The following is an 18,274-nucleotide window of genomic DNA, read 5'->3' as shown; positions in this document are numbered from 1 at the left end:
CCTACAAAAAAATAAATAAAAATTAGCTGGGCATGGTGGTGTGTGTCTGTAGTCTCAGTTACTTGGAAGGCTGAGATGAGAGGGTCGCTTTAGCTCAGGAGGTCAAAGCTGAAGTGAGCAGAGATCACGCCACTGTACTCCAGCCTGGGCAAGAGAGAGACTCTGTCTCAAAAAAACCAAAAACAAAAACAATTACTGATGCCCAGTATCCACGCTAGACCAATTCATAGAGAAATCTGAAGTGTGGGGCCCAGCTCCCCAAGCAATTCTCACATACAGCCAGCGTGCCATACCCTGGCAATAAGCCAATCACAATGGTTTCATTCCCCTTCTCAGTGACATGGTCAAGAATGGCCAGGTGACCCACTTCTGGCCAATGAGGCATAGATTTCCCAGCAGTGGGAAATGTGCTGGAACCCCTCTGAGAAAGGGATCCTTGCTCCACAGAACATAGGGGTCGTTCTCCTTTCTCCAGATATCACTGTGTCCTGCTGCAATTCCTGGGACCACCATGGCCATGTCACTACTGGTCTAGAAGGAAACCAACCCAAGGATGGCAGAGTAGAGAGATGGGAAGTACTTCATCCTACAGCCTTGACTCAGCCAACCCTGAAAGCCACCCACCTTGGGACATCCGGTTTTCTGCATAGTACAGCTCCTTACTGCTTAAGTCAGTGCAGGCCAGCATTTGTTATTGCAATAGATAGGCCTGAGACAACAGCAGTCACCTTCTCATGTCCCTCACCCCAGTCATCCCCATGTCATCCAGGAAAATGGGCCTCTGGATCTTCCACTGCAGGGTGGACGCTTGACTGATGGCCCCAGCTGTGGAGCTCTGAAGTCCATCCCCATGTTTGCTCCAAGGCAATGCTTCCCACAGCTCACCCCAGCTAGTGATGCGTGTGGCAGGGATATTAAGGCAGGACCATTCCTGGGAGATGTGGGGCTCCACTGGCCAGGGACTGTGGCTCTGGCTGAAGGATACTCCAAGGTCTTGCAGAACTTTTCTTAGAATTGCACTATAGTCTGATATGCTCCCACCAAACTTCCTTCCTTTCTTACCCCTCTCCTTCACTCAGGGTCCCACTTGCACTGAGGTCTGATGGCTCCCCCAGACTCCCCCAGCTTCCTCCTTATTTTTCTTCACACAGGCATTTCCCCTGATTATGTATGTATGTAGGCATGTATGTATGTATGTTTAATCCTCTCTTGATGTCTACTTAACCCATGACCTGCCTAACACACGACCTGCATCACCTCATGCCTGGACTACTACTACCCAGTTGTGTGTCCCTTCCACCCCATCCCTAATCCTTCCTACACAAACCATGCTACTCCCCAACTCAAGACCCTCCAACAGTTTCTTATTTCTTACATTATCGAGTTCAGTTACTTCTGCCTTTCTTTATAAGCAGTACTGACCCTGACCTGCCCTACCAGCCAACTCTGGCAGAAGACTGAAATCCATCCCTGTTGTTTCACTTACATGCCTAGAGGGCATCCCCATGTGGGAGCAACCCTGGCCATTGGCAGCACAGAAATGACTGATGTGGCCCATGACCAATGAATATTGAAGCTGTCCTAAGTCTGAGTACCAATTCCACCCCTTTCCACAGACGTTCCTCAATGACAAAGGCTCCCTCGGCCTCCCCTCACTTCGCCCCAATGGAATATTTAATTTAAAAAAATACATTTTATACACAAATCACCCTCCATCAACAAGAAGAGAATCCTCTAAAGATGGTTATGGTAACGAAAATGATTCTTATTCATAATGATAATGACATTAAGCACAAGATGATAAAGTTGAAGATGGTGATGGTACTGGAGAAAAAAGTAGTGATAAAAATAAGTGTGAAGGCTGGGCGTGGTGGTTCGCACCTGTAATCCCAGCACTTTGGGAGGCTGAGGTGAGCAGATCACTTGAGGACAGGAGTTCGAGACCAGCCTGGCCGACATGGTGAAACCCTGTCTGTACTAAAAATACAAAAATTAGCCAGGTGTGGTGGCACACGGCTATAGTCCTAGCTACTCAGGAGGCTGAGGCAGGAGAATCACTTGAACTCGGGAGGTAGAGGTTGCAGTGAGCTGAGATCAGGCCACTGCGCTCCAGCCTGGGTGAAAGAGCAAGACTCCATCTCAAAAAATTTAAAAAAAAAGTCTGAAAATAAAAGAAAATTTTAAAAGCAGAAAAGCAGGGGTTAAAATGTTCTCACATTATGATCTCAATGATATAAGCATATATGCAATACAGCTGACTTCCTCCTGATGCACTGCTATGTTAACCAGCTGTGTCTGTGAGGAATTGCATTTGGTTGCTAGTAATAAAAAACAGAAATAACATTGCTTTTAAAATATATTAAGTGTTTTCTTTAACATAGGAAGTCTGCAGGTACACAGACATAGCTAGTGTGGCAGCTCTGTAATTATCAGGGACCTGGGCTTCTTTCATCTTTCTACGCCATCTTCCACATAACATTGCAAGGTTGCTTCATAGTCTGAAATAGAAGCTGAAGCTCCAGCCAGCTTGCCCACATTCCAGGCAAGAAACAGAAAGAACACAGAAAACCAAAACCAAAGGACATATATTAGCTACCTGCCCCTCTTTAAAGGAGCCTTATTCAAAGTCCACCCAACAATTCTAATTTGCATCTCATTGACCAGAATGTAGTCACATGCCTACACCAAGCTGGACAAGAAGCTGAAATGTGTGGTCTTTTCATTGGACACATTGCACGCTCAAGTTAAAAACAGGGTCCTCAGCCATAAGATGAGTTCCATTTCCTCTGGAGAACATTCTGATTGATGCCCTTAGTACATGGAAACTTCAAAGCTGGGAGTGTCTTCCCTGGTGTCCCCACACACCCCTTTGCTCCCTCCAGCTGAACTGCCACCCATAATGAGAAGCCGTGTTGTCCCTAAACTTGATGACAGGTTGGTATGCCAGAAAACTGTGTGATTTATTTAAATAGGACATAAAAAGTATGAAAAGTCTCTTTTAAGAGAATGAAAAGATTAGCCACAGACAGGGAGAAATTCATTGCAAAGCACATATCTAATAGAGAATCCAGAATATATAAACAACTCTTAAAACTCAAAAATAAGAAAACGACCTAATGAAAAATAATGGGCAAAAATTTAAACAGACACTTCACCAAAGTAAATATATAACTGGCAAATAAGCACATGAAAAAATGCTCATTGGCTGGGTGCAGTGGCTCATGCCTTAATCCCAGCAATTTGGGAGGCCAAGGTGAGAGGACTGCTTGAACCCAGGAGTTCAAGACCAGCCTGGGCAACATCACAAAACCCTGTCTCTACAAAAAGCTCAAAAATCAGCCAAGTATGGTGGTGTATGCCTGTAGTCCCAGCTTCTCAGGAGGCTGAGGTGGGAGAATTGCTTGAGCCTGGGAGGTCGAGGCTACAGTGAGCCATGATTGTACCACTGCACTCCAGCCTGGGTAACAGCGAAATACCCTGTCTGAAAAAGAAAAAAAAAAAAAAACGGGTGCGGTGGCTCATGCCTGTAATCCCAGCACTTTGGGAGGCCAAGGCAGGTGGATCACCTGAGGTCTGGAGTTCAAGACCAGCCTGACCAATACGGTGAAACCCCTCCTCTACTAAAATTACGAAAATTAGCGGGGCAAGGTGGCATGCCCCTGTAGTCCCAGCTACTCAGGAGGCTGAGGCAGGAGAATCACTTGAACTCGGGAGGCGGAGGTTGCAGTGAGCCGAGATCGTGCCACTGCACTCCAGCCTGGGCGTCAGAGCGAGACACCATCTCAAAAAAAAAAAAAGGAAGAAAGAAAATAAACAAAAAAGAAAAAATGCTCATCAGTGGGTAGCAGGTGGTTGGAAAAAAAAGTTTGGTTTGTTTTGAGACGGAGTCTCACTCTGTCTTTCAGGCTGGAGTGCAGTGGCACTATCTCTACTCACTGCAACCTCTGCCTCCCGGGCTCAAGTGATTCTCCTGCCTCAGCCTCCTGAGTAGCTAGGATTACAGGCACATGCCACCATGCCCAGCTAGTTTTTGCGTTTTTAGTAGAAACGGGGTTTCACCATGCTGTCCACGCTGGTCTTGAACTCCTGACCTCAGGTGATCCGCCTGCCTTGGCCTCCCAAAGTGCTGGAACTACAGGCGTGAGCCACCGTGCTCAGCCTAATCCAGGGTAAATCTGTGCCTAAATTAAGCCCGGCGTGGTAGCTCACACCTGTAGTCCCAACTACTCAGGAGGCTGAGGCACGACAATCACTTGAACCCAGGAGGTGGAGGTTGCAGTGAGCTGAGATCATGCCACTGCACTCCAGCCTAGGCGACAGAGAGAGACTCTGTCTCAAATAAATAAATAAATAAATAAATGGATTATTGATATACACCATAGCATGCATGAATCTCAAACTAATTATGCTGAGTGAAAGAAGCTAGAGAAAAAAAGAGACCATACTGTATCATTCCCATTACATAGAACTCTAAAAACTGTAAACTAATCTATAGTGACGGAAAGCAGCTGGCGGTTACTTGATTATGGCAGAGGCGGGGGGTGCAGCAGGGAGGAGTAGGAGAGGGGATTATTTAAGGCACAAGGGAACTTGTGAGGGTGACGGAAATGTCCACTAAGTTCATGGTGCTGATGATTTCACAGGTATATGCATATGTCAAAACACATCAACTGTGCATTTTAAATATGTGCAGTATATTTTTGTCAGTTATACTTTAATAAAGCTGTATTTTAAAACCTATTAAATGTAAGCGTAAGCCAGCCGCGGTGGCTCACGCCTGTAATCCCAGCACTTTGGGAGGCTGAGGTGGGCGGATCGCTTGAACTCAGGAGTTCAAGACCACTCTGGGCAACATGGTGAAGTCCCATCTCTACAAAAATTACAAAAATTAGCCGGGCATGGTGGTGTGCACCTGTGGTCCCAGCTACTCCGGAGGCTGAGGTAGGAAGATCACCTGAGCCCAGGAGGTTGCAGTGAGCCATGATCACACCACTGCACTCCAGCCTGGGTGACACAGTGAGACCCTGTCTCAAAAAATATATATAAGAGTGCGAGAGGAGGGAGTAGGGGGAAAAAAGTGTTACTTCTATAAAAACTAAGATGAATCAGTTCCTCAAAAAATTAAAAATAGAATTACCATATGATCCAGCAATTCCACTCTGGGTGCATACCCAAAAGAATGGAAAGCAGGGACTTGGACTTGAACAGAATTCATAAACCCATGTTCATAGCAGCATTATTCACAATGACCAAAACATGGAAGCAACCCAAGTGTTCATTGACTGATGAATGGATAAACAAAATGTGGCACATACATACAATGGAATATAATTCAACCTTAGAAAGGAAAGAAATTCTAATATATGCTAAAACAAGAATGAATTTTGAGGACATTATGCTAAGTGAAATAAGCACTCACAAAAAAACCAAATACTGTATGATTCCACTTATCTGAGATACCTAGAGTACTCAAATTCACAGAGACAGAAAGTAGAATGGTGCTTGCCTGGGGTTGAGGGCACTGGGAAATGGGAAGCTAGTGTTTAATGGGTACAGGGTTCCAGTTTGGGAAAATGAACAAAGTTCTGGAGATGGATGGTGCAAAATAACACATGTACTTAATACCACTGAACTGTACACTTAAATGGTTAAGATGGTTAAATTAAATGTTTAAATTTTATGTTATGTGTATTTTACCATAATTTTTTTAAGTACAGAAACAAAAACTAAGTTGAAAGCTTTGGAAAGATGCCCTAAAGGATTGTCCATTAAAAATGCTATCACACTCGGGAGGAGAACAAGACTGGAACCCGCTAGTGCTCCTCCCCATCATAAAGATAGCCAAAACAATGAATAAACAATGATATAGGTATATAGATAGATAGATAGGTAGAGAGAGAGAGAGACATGCAGTTTCGCTCTTGTCACCCAGGCTGGAGTGCAATGGTGCAATCTCGGCTCACTGCAACCTCTGCCTCCTGGGTTCAAGAGATTCTCCTGCCTCAGCCTCCCAAGTAGCTGGAACTACAGGTGCCCACCCCCACGCCCAGCTAATTTTTGGATTTTTAGTAGGGAAGGGGTTTCACCATGTTGGCCAGGCTGGTCTCAAACTCCTGACCTCAGGTGATCCACCCGCCTCAGCCTCCCAAAGCGCTGGGATTAAAGGCCTGAGCCACAGCGCCCGGTCAACATTGTTATTTTAACAAAAATAACTGAGGGAGAGTGCCAGAGTTCATCAGATGGGTGACAGAAACTTGAGATGGCTACACAGAGAACAGAAGAAAATGCTGGGACTCTACCATTCCATCCCCCCACCAGGATCAGCTGGAAACCAGGAGGTAAGCAAGAGGGTGCAAGCAACCCCCATCAACACCTTGGCCACCTACAGACCTCACCACTGGAGTCCCTGCAATTCTCACAGGCACCAAGCTCAGCTAAGGAAGCTGCCTGGAGTCCACACAGCAGTGCTCCTCCAAAGAAGAAGCCAATGCTGTGCCATGCCCCCTGTGCCCACATGGCTACTCTGCTATGCCATCTTGGAATTGGAACAACAGCTGGAGCGCATCTTGCTCCCGGGGTGAGTTGCCATGGGTCCCCTTCATCCCTGGAGCTAAGCCACCCTCCACCCCAGCCCAGTGGCCCAACATCCCCAAGCCAAGCTGCCAGCAGCTGTTGCACCCTTCCCTGCAGGGCCCAGCAGAGGTAGAGCCACTCCATCTACCCCTCCTTCTGCCCCCTTGGGCCAGAGCCTAACTGATTTCCTAGGTACCCTGCCTCCTAAACACAGTACCTTGGCTGCTCAGGACAGTCACACCTCTCTGGTGCCTAAGTTGAAGGAGTGCCTTACATCCCAGAAAACAGTACCTTGGCTACCTGGAGCAGTCACTCACCCCAGTGCCTAAGCTAAAGTGGTGCTCTGCATCTCAGGGAAATAGTTCCTGGGCTGCCGAGGACAGTCATGTCCCCTATCACCCCCAAGCATGAGCTGAAGCAGCACACCAGCTCCTGGGGAATCAGTGCCCTGGCCAAGCTGAGCAACTGTGCATCCCAGAACTGAGCTGACCTAGTACCCCATGTCCCAGGGAAATAGAGCTGTGAATGAACTGAGACATCCTGCCCTACAGGCCAAACAACCCTAGTACTCTGTTGCCCCAGAGCTGGGCTAGCCCTCTAGAGTCTGAGCCGCTGACATACCCCTCTCCCTGGGGAGTAAAGTCATCACTGTGCTGTTTCTTGCCCCCTCAGTGCCCAAACAACAGCTGTGCCCCACCTTTCTGGGATACTTGCTGCTGCTGCACCTGGCATCACACAGTCAGGATTATTGCCAAGCCCCACAATCCCTTGTTCTAGAGTCACACTACACAATGCCTCATCCCCTGGGATCTGAGTTGCTGCTGAACCCTATTGGCTCAAGTTCCTGAATTGCAGCCATGCCTTGTCTCCCAGGCCCAAATCTTTAGAGCACTTCTTCCCAGGAGTCAGGCCAGTACTGTGCCCTCTCCCTCCCAGCAGTAGAATCACAGGTACAACCCAGCCTATGGGGCTGAGCTGATAGCGGGTGCTTCAGAGTCACAGATGCTGGCTCTGTGGGCAACATATATCCAACCCTGCCACTGACAGCAAAGTTGCACCCCATGACCCAGGTGGCATAATACGCTTGCAAGACCCTCAGCCTAGGACCCCAGCCCCACAGCCACTCTAAGCACCTGCACCTGGAACTCAGGGCTGCTGCAGCTGCTTGTAGGCCATGTCAGACTTGATACCAAGAGAGATACCCTTGGCTAAGTCTTCCCCTTGTGGGTTAAATGAGAATAGGAGGACCTCAAGAGCCCTCAACACTGAGGACATTAACAACCTATGATGCCAGTGTACAAACATCTACAGCCTAGGCCACGGGGGTGCTCACAGTTATTGCTGATGTCCAGTGCAGCTGAAGAAGCTGCATAGAGACTATACCATTGCACCTATCCAGAAACAGAGTCATCACACTCTTTCCAACTGGCACACTACAACCCAACTGCAGATGAAAACCTTTCTCTACAAAAGCCATTCTAAAATGGAAGAGGTGATTGATCCACTAGATGTACAGACATCAATGTGAGGATGTGGGGACAAAAGAAACTCAAAAGTCAAGAAAATATGACACCACCAAAGGAACATAATAACTCACTAGTAAGAGACCCAAATGGGAAGGAAATCCACAAATTTCAAGAAAAGGAATTCAAAAAGAGATCTTAAGGAAATCAACAAGATACAAAAAAAAAAAAATACAGATAGACAATCTGATAAAAATCAAGAAAACAATTCACGATGTGAAAGACAAATTCAACAAAGAGATAGAAACAATTTTAAAAGAAACAAACAGAAGTCCTGCAGCCAAAAAGTTCAATGAATGAAATAAAAAATGCAATAGAGAGCTTCAACAGCGCTTGATCAAGCAGAAGAAAGATTCTCTGAACTTGAAAGGTAGGTCATTTGAGCTAGGCGCGGTGGTTCACGCCTGTAATCCCAGCACTTAGGGAGGCCAAGGCGGGTGGATCACCAGAGGTCAGAAGTTCAAGACCAGCCTGACCAACATGGAGAAACCCCATCTCTACTAAAAATACAAAATTAGGCCGGGAGCGGTGGCTCAAGCCTGTAATCCCAGCACTTTGGGAGGCCAAGGCGGGCGGATCAGAAGGTCAGCAGATCGAGACCATCCTGGCTAACACGGTGAAACCCCGTCTCTACTAAAAATACAAAAAATTAGCCGGGTGTGATGGCGGGCGCCTGTAGTCCCAGCTACTCAGGAGGCTGAGGCAGGAGAATGGTGTGAACCCAGGAGGCAGAGCTTGCAGTGAGCCAAGATCGCGCCACTGCACTCCAGCCTGGGCGACAGAGTGAGACTCCATCTCAAAAAAAAAAATACAAAATTAGTCCGGCATCGTGGCTTATGCCTGTAATCCCAGCTACTCAGGAGGCTGAGGCAGGAGAATCACTTGAACCTAGGAGGCAGAGGTTGCAGTGAGCTGAGATCACGCCATTCCACTCCAGCCTGGGCAACAAGAGTGAAACTCCATCTCAAAAAAAAAAAGAAAAGAAAAAAGAAAGGTCATTTGAAATTACCCAGTCAGAGAAAAAAATAAATAAGAACAAAAAAGTCAAGAAAAATTACAAGACTTATGAGACATAATAAAGCAATCAAATATTTGTATTACAGTAGTTTTAAAAGGAGAAGAGAAGGGCCAGGCACAGTGGCTCAAGCTTGTAATCCCAGCACCTTGAGAGGCCAAGGCGGGTGGATCATGAGGTCAGGAGATGGACACCATCCTGGCTAACATGATGAAACCCCGTCTCTACTAAAAATACAAAAAAAATAGCCAGGCATGGTGGTGGGTGCCTGTGGTCCCAGCTACTCGGGAGGCTGAGGCAGGAGAATGGCGTGAAGCCAGGAGGCAGAGCTTGCAGTGAGCCAAGATCACGCCACTGCACTCCAGCCTAGGTGACAGAGCAAGACTCCATCTCAAAAAAAAAAAAAAAAAAAAAAAAGGAGAAGAGAAGGAAAAAGGTGTAGAAAACCTATTTAATGAAATAATAGCTGAAAACTTCTTAAGTCTGGGGAAAGATGTGGACATCCAGATCAAGGAAGCTCAAAGATTCCCAAATAGATTTAACCCAAAAAGGCCCTCCCTGAGGCCATTATAGTCAAATTGTAAAAAGTCAAAGATACAGAAAGTTCACAGAGAAAGCCTCCAAAAAAAGGAAAAAAAAAAGAGAATTCTAAAAACAGCAAGAGAAAAGCATTGAGTCACATATAAAGGAATATCTATTAGACTAAGAGCAGATTTCTCCACAGAATCCTTACAGGCCAGTAGAGAATGGGATGATACAGTCAAAGTGCTAAAAGAAAATAATCATCAGCCAATAATACCATATCCAGCAAAGCTATCCTTCAGAAATTAGGGAGAAATAGTCTTTCCCACACAAGCAAAAACTGAAAGAATTCATCACCACTGGACTAGCCTTACAAGAAATGCTCAATGGAATCCTACATCTGGAAGCAAAAAAGACAATCATCACTATCATGAAAACACATAAAAGTGTAAAACTCACTGGTAGAGCAAATACACAAAGGAGAAAAAGAATCAAACCTTATCACTACCAAAAAAACAAAAACCCAAACCACAATCATAAACAATAAGAAAGAAAGGATACACAAAACAATCAGAAAACAATTAATGAATTGACAGGGGCAAGTCCTCACCTATCAACAATAACCTTGAATGTAAACAGATTAAATTCCTCCATTTAAAAGACATACACTGCCTGAACGGATAAGAAAATAAATGACCTAACTATATGCTACCTACAGGAAACTCACTTCACCTGTAAAGACACATATAGACTGAAAATGAAGGGATGGATAAAGATATTCCATGCAAACAGAAACCAAAATTGGCAGGAAAAGCTATGCTTAACATCAGATAAAGCAGGCTTTAAGTCAAAATGGTAAATAGAGACAAGGTCATTATATAATGATAAAGGGATCAATTCAGCAAGAGGACATAACAATCATAAATTATATGTGCCAAACAATGGAGCATCCAGATATATAAAGCATAAATTATTAGATCTAAAGGGAGAGACAGAGGCCAGGCACAGTGGCTCATGCCTGTAATCCCAGCACTTTGGGAGACTGAGGCAGAAGGGTTATTTGAGGCCAGAAGTTCAAGACCAGCCTGGGCAACATAGTGAGACTTCATCTCTACTAAAAAAAAAAAAGAAAAAGCCAGGAATGGTAGTATGCACTTAGGAGGCTGAGGCAGGAGGATCACTTGAGCCCAAGGAGTTTGAGGATGCAGTGAGCTATGACCATGCTACTGCACTTCACTCTGGGCAATAAAGTGAGACCCTGTCTCAAAAAAAGTGGGGGCCAGACATGGTGCTCACATCTGTAATCCCAGCACTTTGGAAGGCCACAGCAGGAGGGTAGCTTGAGGCCAGGAGTTCAAGACCAGCCTGGGCAACATAGCAAGACTCCACCTCTAATAAATAAAAAAAATAAAAATGTTTCAAAAAGTAGAGACAGAACCCAATATAATAATGGTTAGGGACTTCAACACCTTACTCTTGGCATTGGATAGATCATCTAGATAGGAAATCAACAAAGAAACATTAAATTTAAACTGCACTATGTAAAGACATTTACAAAACATTTCATCAAACAGCTCTAGAACACATTTTTTTTTTGAGACAGGGTCTTGCTTTGTTGCCCAGGCTGGAGTGCAGTGGTACAATCTTGGCTCACTGCAACCTCCGCCTCCTGGGTTCAAGCAATTCTCCTGCCTCAGCCTCCCAAGTAGCTGGGATTACACGCACACACCACCACACCTGGCTAATTTTTGTATTTTTAGTAGAGACAGGGTGTCACCATATTGACCAAGCTGGTCTTGAACTCCTGACCTCTTGATCCACCTGCTCAGCCTCCCAAAGTGCTGGGATTATAGGCATAAGCCACCACGCCCAGGCAAATACATATTATTTTTATCAGCACATAGAACATTGTCCAGGATAGACCACATTTTAGGCCACAAAACAAGTCTCAACAATTCTAAAAGAACCGAAATCATGGCCAGGTGTGGTGGCTCATCCTGTAATCCCAGAACTTTGGGAGGCTGAGGCAGGTGGATCACCTGAGGTCGGGAGTTACAGACCAGCCTGGCCAACACAGTGAAACCCCGTCTCTACTAATAACACAAAAATTAGCTGGCTGTGGTGGCGCACACCTGTAATCTCTGCTAGCCAGGAGGCTGAAGCAGGAGAATTGTTTGAACCTGGGAGGCAGAGGTTGCAGTGAGCCCAAATCGTGCCACTGCACTCCAGCCTGGGTGACAGAGAAAAAAAAAAAAAAGAATTGAAATCATATCAACTATCATTTCTGACCATAATTAAACAAAACTAGAAATCAGTAACAACAATTTGTGAAATTGTACAAATACATAGAAATTAAATAACATGATCCTGAACAATCAATGGGTCAATACAGAAATTAAGAAGAAAATTTAAAAATGTCTTGAAACATATAAAAATAGAAACACAACAAAGCAAAACCTATAGGATACAGCAAAAGCAGTATTATGAGGAAAGTTTATAGGAATAAATGAATACAGTAAAAAAAAAAATCTAGTGAAGTATCTCAAGGCACTAGAAAAGAAAGAACAAACAAAACACAAAGTTAGTAGTGGGAAAGGTATAGTAAAGACCAGAGTAGAAATAAAATAAATTGAGACTAAAGAAAACACAAAAGATTGACAAAAAAAGTTGGTTTTTTTTGAGAGAATAAACATAATTGACAAGCCATTAGCTAGACTAACCAAGAAAAAAAGATAAAAGACCCAAATACATAAAATCAGAAATCAAAACAGAGACATTACAACTGATACCACAGAGGCTGCTCTGGCTGTGGAGTAGCCACTCTTTTGTTTCTTTACTTCTCTAATAGACTTGCTTTCACTTTACTCTGTGGACTCACCCCAAATTTTTTCTTGCATAAGATCCAAGAACCCTCTCTTGGGGTCTGAATTGTGACCGCTTTCCAGTAACATCTTCCATGGTGAATCACAAAGGGATGATACTGAAGAGACCCCTGACCCAAAGAAAATAGATTGCAGCATCAATTGGCCAACTTTGGAGTCAAGAAAACTTTTCAATTATTTACAGCTTTTAGCAATTGAGTAAAGAATCCTCCTGTAAGCAAAACTTGGAGCATATTTCTTTCTCTCTATTTGATTTCTCCAGAATTTGGAAACTATTTGTGAGTATTCTTAACTTATGGCAATATAGTTATTTACATAAGTGCAAAAAGCAACTGTTTTCTTTTGTAACAGAACACAGTTGGAGACTGGTTCTTTTACCAAGGCTTTGACTGGAATGGCATTCTTTCAGATATAAACAGATTCCTTTAAGGAATAAAAGCCCCTTGGGAAAACTGGCCTCATATCTTGTCTACACAGTCCCTGTACAGGGTTCCTCACCTGTGGTAAGTATAGAATGTCATTTTCTGGCAGGCTTAGGAGCCCCAAGTTATCTTGGGACCTCGAGAGGAGAGAAATTTACCCAGCTCATACAGGTATTTGCAGTCACAAACCCATGGCTCGGCTCAAGGCTTTAAAAAGTCTAATCCATGATTCCTTATCGAACAAAGATCCATCAAAGGCAATTTTAAAAGGTGCCTATATGGCAAATAATTATTCTTGCTGCACTTCTACAAACAATCAAGACAATTATAATAAGACTAAAGCTTATTTTGCAAATGAAACCATGATTTGGTTTTAATAAAAATGAAGACTGGAGAGAGAAAATTTGTATTTCAAAAACTATGGTACACCTGTTATTAGAGTCTAGTCTTATTTGCTGTTTTTTAGTTTTTTTCTGCAATTTAGATTGACCCTGCTTATTTCTGTGAATCAGTTAGTGATTTCTGGCTGCTGCTCAGAAGAAACAAGAGAAATAGGTAATATAAAAATCTGGATCAGTCTTCTAATTATGGGCATATACTGGAATTGGGTAGCAACCCCAAATCAGCTTGGTTCCAACACTTGCCCAGTTCCTTGGTTCCAACACTTGCCCAGTTCCAGTTCCTGGGAAGTTCCCAGTTCTTTCCAGGAACTGGGCAAGTCACAGTCAAATACCTGTGACTGCAAACTAAACTTATCATTTAGTTTGGTTGGAATGCTTTTACTTATATTGATTTACTGTTGTGAAACATATTGCTGTTGTACTCTTTGTGCAGGAATGCAGGATAAGCTTACTCAACAATTTCTTAAATTGAACACTTATTCTTCTTCCTGATATCACCTTTTGTCAGAAGTCAGAGTTATGAATGACCCTCACCATACCAACATTTTCTTTTTCTTTTCTTTTTTTTTTTTTTTTGAGACGGAGTCACGCTCTATTGCCCAGGCTGGAGTGCAGTGGCACTACCTCAGCTCACTGCAACCTCCGCCTCCCGGGTTCAAGCGATTCTCCTGTCTCAGCCTCCTAAATAGCTGGGACTATAGGCACACACCACCACACCTGGCTAATTTTTGTATTTTTTTTTCTTTCTGTTCTTTTGAGACAGAGTTTCACTCTGTTGCCCAGGCTGGAGTGCAATGGTGCAATCTTAGCTCACTGCAACATCCGCCTACCGGGTTCAGGTGATTCTCCTGCCTCAGCCTTTGAGTAGCTGGGATTACAGGCACCTGCCACCACGCCCAGCTAATTTTTGTATTTTTAGTAGAGATGGGGTTTCACCAGGTTGGCCAGGCTGGTCTCAAATTCCTGACCTCAGGTGATCCACCCACCTCAGCCTCCCAAAGTACTGGGATTACAGGCATGAGCCAACGTGCCTGGCCTAATTTTTGTATTTTTACTAGTGACAGGGTTTCACCATGTTGGCCAGGCTGGTCTCAAACTCCTGACCTGAGATGATTGGTCCACCTCGGCCTCCCAAAGTGCTGGGATTACAGGCGTGAGCCATTGTGCCCGGCCTTTATACCAATGTTTTCTGACTGAGCTCCTCTCTACTCTAAATACAAGAGACCCTAATAGATAGAAATATCATCACCCCTATTCAGCCAGCAGAAGTTAGAGAAGATAGATATTCATCCCTCTACAACCCATAGGATTAAGGGTCCCCTTGTAAAATGGAGGGAGAAATATGTCAGAGGTGTTCAAACCAGAGCCACTCCATCTTCAACAGGGCCTGGGTAAAATGAGACTGAGATATGCTGGGCTGCATTCCCAGGAGGTTAGGCATTCTTAGTCACAGGATGAGATAGGGAATCACAAGATACAAGTCACGAAGACCCTGCTGATGAAACGAGATACAATAGGCCAGGTGCAGTGACTCATGCCTGTAATCCCAGCACTTTGGGAGGCCAAGGTGGGCAGATCACCTGAGGTCAGGAGTTCAAGACCAGCCTGGCCAACATGGTGAAACCCCATCTCTGCTACAAATATAAAAATTAGCCTGGCATGGTTGTGCATGCCTGTAATCCCAGCTACTTGGAAGGCTGAAGCAGGAGAATCGCTTGAACCTGGGAGGTAGAGGTTGCTGTGAGCCAAGATTGTGTCAGGGCACTCCAGCCTGGGCAACAGAGCGAGACTCTGCCTCAAAAAAAAAAAACCAAAAAAAAAAGAAAAAAAGTGCAATAAAAAAATCCAGCCAGTCAAAACCTACCAAAACCAAGATAGCAATGAAAGTGCCAATAGCATACTAAAAAGACACTCCCACCAGTGCCATAACAGTTTACAAATGCCATGGCAACATCCCTAAGTTACCCTATATGGTCTAAAGGGAGGAGGAACTCTCAGTTCCAGGCATTGTCTGCCCCTTTCCTGGAAAACTCGAATAATCCACCCCTAATTTAGCATATGATAAGAAATAACCATAAAAATAGCCAACCAGGAGCCCTCAGGGCTGCTCTGTCTATGCAGTAGCCATTCTTTTGTTTCTTTACTTCTCTAATAAACTTGCTTTTACTTAAAAAAAAAAAAAGATGATACCACAGAAATACAAAGGATCATTAGAGACTATTACAAACAACTATACACAAACAAATTAGAAAGCCTAGTCGCTATAACCTGGCATTCATATGCAGAAAAATAAAAGAAAACCAGCCAGCGTGGTGGCTCATGCCTGTAATCCCAGCACCTTGGGAGGCCAAGGCAGGTGGATCATGACGTCAGGAGTTCAAGACCAGCCTGACCAACATGGTGAAACCCCATCTCTACTAAAAATACAAAAATTACCCGGGCATGGTGGTACGCACCTGTAATCCCAGCTCCTTGGGAGGCTGAGGCCGGAGAATCACTTGAAACCAGGAGGCAGAGGTTGCAGTGAGCTGACATCGTGCCACTGCACTCCAGCCTGAGTGACAGAGTGAGACTGTCTCAAAAAAAAAAGAAAAGAAAAGAAAAGAAAACCTAGCAGAAATTGAGAAATTCCTGGACACATGAAATCTACCAAGATTGAACCAAGAAGAAATATAAAACCAGAACAGACCAGTTCCAAGTAACAATATTGAATCTATAATAAGTCTTCCATCAAAGAAAAGCACAGGACCTGATGGCCTCGCTGCTGAATTCTACCAAACATCTGAAGAAAAACTAATGCCAATTCTTCTCAAACTCTTCCAGAAAATTAAGGGGGAAAGAATTCTTCTAAACTTATTCAATGAGGCCAGCATTACCCTATACCAAAACCAAACAAGTACACAACAAAAAAAAGAAAGCTACAGGCCAATATCTCTGGTAAATATAGAAGCAAAAAATCCTCAACAAAATACTGGTCAACCAAATTTAGCAGCACATCAAAAAGATGATTCACCATGATCAAGCAGAATTTATCTCAGGGATACAACATACACAAGTCAATAAACACAATATATCACATCAACAGAATGAAGGACAAAAACCATATGCTCCTCTCAATAGATGCACAAAAAGTACTTGATAAAATTCAACATCCCTTCATGATAAAAACTCTCAACAAGTTAGGTATAGAAGGAGTATATCTCAACACAGTAAAGGCCACATAGCACAAAATCATAGCCAACATCATACTGAAAGGGGATAAGTTGAAAGCTTTTTCTCCAAGATCCAAAACAAGACAAGAAAGCCCACTATTACCACTTTTATTCACCACAGTAGTGGAAGTACTAGCCAGAGCAATTAAGGAAGAGAAAAAAATAAAGAGCATCCATATTAGACAACAGGAAGTCAGATTGTCCCTATTTGCATATAAACTATCATATATAGAAAAACAAAAGACTTACAGTCACGATGGCTCACACCTGTAATCCCAGCACTTTGGGAGGAGGAGGCTGGTGGATCACTTGAGGTCAAGAGTTGGAGACCAGCCTGGCCAACATGGTGAAACTCCATATCTACTAAAAATACAAAAAGTGGCCCAGCATTGTAGCGCACACCTGTAATCCCAGCTACTTGGGTTGCTGAGGCAGGAGAATGGCTTGAACCCAGGAGGAGGAGGTTGTAGTGGGCCGAGGTGATGCCACTGCACTCCAGCCTGGGCAACAGAGTGAAAGTCTGTCTCAAAAAAAAAAAAAGAAAAAAGAAAGAAAGAAAGAAAAAAAACTCCACCAAAAAAACTCTGAGAACTAATAAATGAATTCAGTAAAATTTCAGAATACAAAATCAACATACAAAAATCAGTAGCATTTCTATACACCAACAACAAACTAGCAGAAAAAGAAACACAGCAATCCCATTTACAATAACTACAAAAAAAAAATCTAGGAATAAATTCAACCAAAGAAGTGAAAGATCTCTACAATAAGAACTGTTAAACACTGATGAAAAAAATTGAAGAGGACATAAAAAAACTGAAAGACATCCATGTTTATGGATTAAAAGAATTAATATTGTGAACATTACCATACCACCCAAAGCAATCTACAGATTCAATGCAACTCACAACAAAATACCAAAGACATTCTTCACAGAAATAGAAAAAACAATCCTAAAAATTCTATGGACCCCACCCCCCATATAGCCAAAGCAATCCTGAGCAAAAAGGACAAAGCTAGACATATCACACTACCAGACCTCAAAATATATTAAAAAGACCAAAACAACATGGCACTGGCATAAAAACAGACACATAGACCAATGGAACAGAATAGGAAATCCAGACATAAACCCATGTATTTATAGCAAAACTGATTTTCAATAAAGGTGACAAGAACATTCACTGGGGATGGAACAGTCTTTTCAACAAATGATGCTAGGAAAACTGGATATCCATATGCAGAAAAATGAAACTAGAGCCGTATCTCTCACCATATATAAAAATCAACTTAAAATTGGCTAAAGACTTAAATGTAAGACCCAAAACCATAAAACTACTAGAAGAAAACATAGAAGAAATGCTTCAGGACATTGGTCTGGGCAAAGATTTTATAAAGAAAACCTCAAAGCACGGGCAACAAAAGCAAAAGTAGACAAATGAAATTATATCAAACTAAAATGTTTCTGCACAGCAAGGGAAATAATCAAGAGAATGAAGAGATCACCTGCAGAATAGGAGAAAATATTTGCAAACTATTCATCTGACAAGGGGTTAATATCCAGAATATACAAGGGACTCAAACAACTCAACAGCAAAAAACAAACAAAAATCCTCCAATTAAAAAACAGGCAGATGAGCTGAATAGATATCTCTCAAAAGAATGCAGACAAAACCAACAAGTATATATTTTTAAATGTTCAACATCACTAACCATCAGGGATA

At 43.3% G+C, this 18,274-nt stretch overlaps 1 protein-coding gene across 1 annotated transcript in view, besides 2 other annotated features; it reads right to left on the bottom strand.

The window, feature by feature from the left end:
• Nucleotides 1-18,274, bottom strand: part of NEURL1 (neuralized E3 ubiquitin protein ligase 1) — a 98,842-nt gene that overhangs the window by 50,098 nt on the left and 30,470 nt on the right. The window lies entirely within an intron of this gene.
• Nucleotides 13,865-14,365: an enhancer, noted in NCBI's record as "H3K27ac hESC enhancer chr10:105287841-105288341 (GRCh37/hg19 assembly coordinates)". NCBI's record gives its function as "activates a minimal SCP1, AML or CMV promoter by ChIP-STARR-seq in primed H9 embryonic stem cells {active_cell/tissue: H9 hESC(primed)}" and the evidence as "EXISTENCE:reporter gene assay evidence [ECO:0000049][PMID:30033119]".
• Nucleotides 14,366-14,866: an enhancer, noted in NCBI's record as "H3K27ac hESC enhancer chr10:105287340-105287840 (GRCh37/hg19 assembly coordinates)". NCBI's record gives its function as "activates a minimal SCP1, AML or CMV promoter by ChIP-STARR-seq in naive H9 embryonic stem cells {active_cell/tissue: H9 hESC(naive)}" and the evidence as "EXISTENCE:reporter gene assay evidence [ECO:0000049][PMID:30033119]".

This window comes from Homo sapiens, chromosome 10 (genome assembly GCF_000001405.40).
Source record: "Homo sapiens chromosome 10, GRCh38.p14 Primary Assembly".
In the NCBI taxonomy this organism is placed as follows: Eukaryota; Metazoa; Chordata; class Mammalia; order Primates; family Hominidae; genus Homo; species Homo sapiens.
This window is presented reverse-complemented; position numbering and strand designations above follow the sequence as displayed.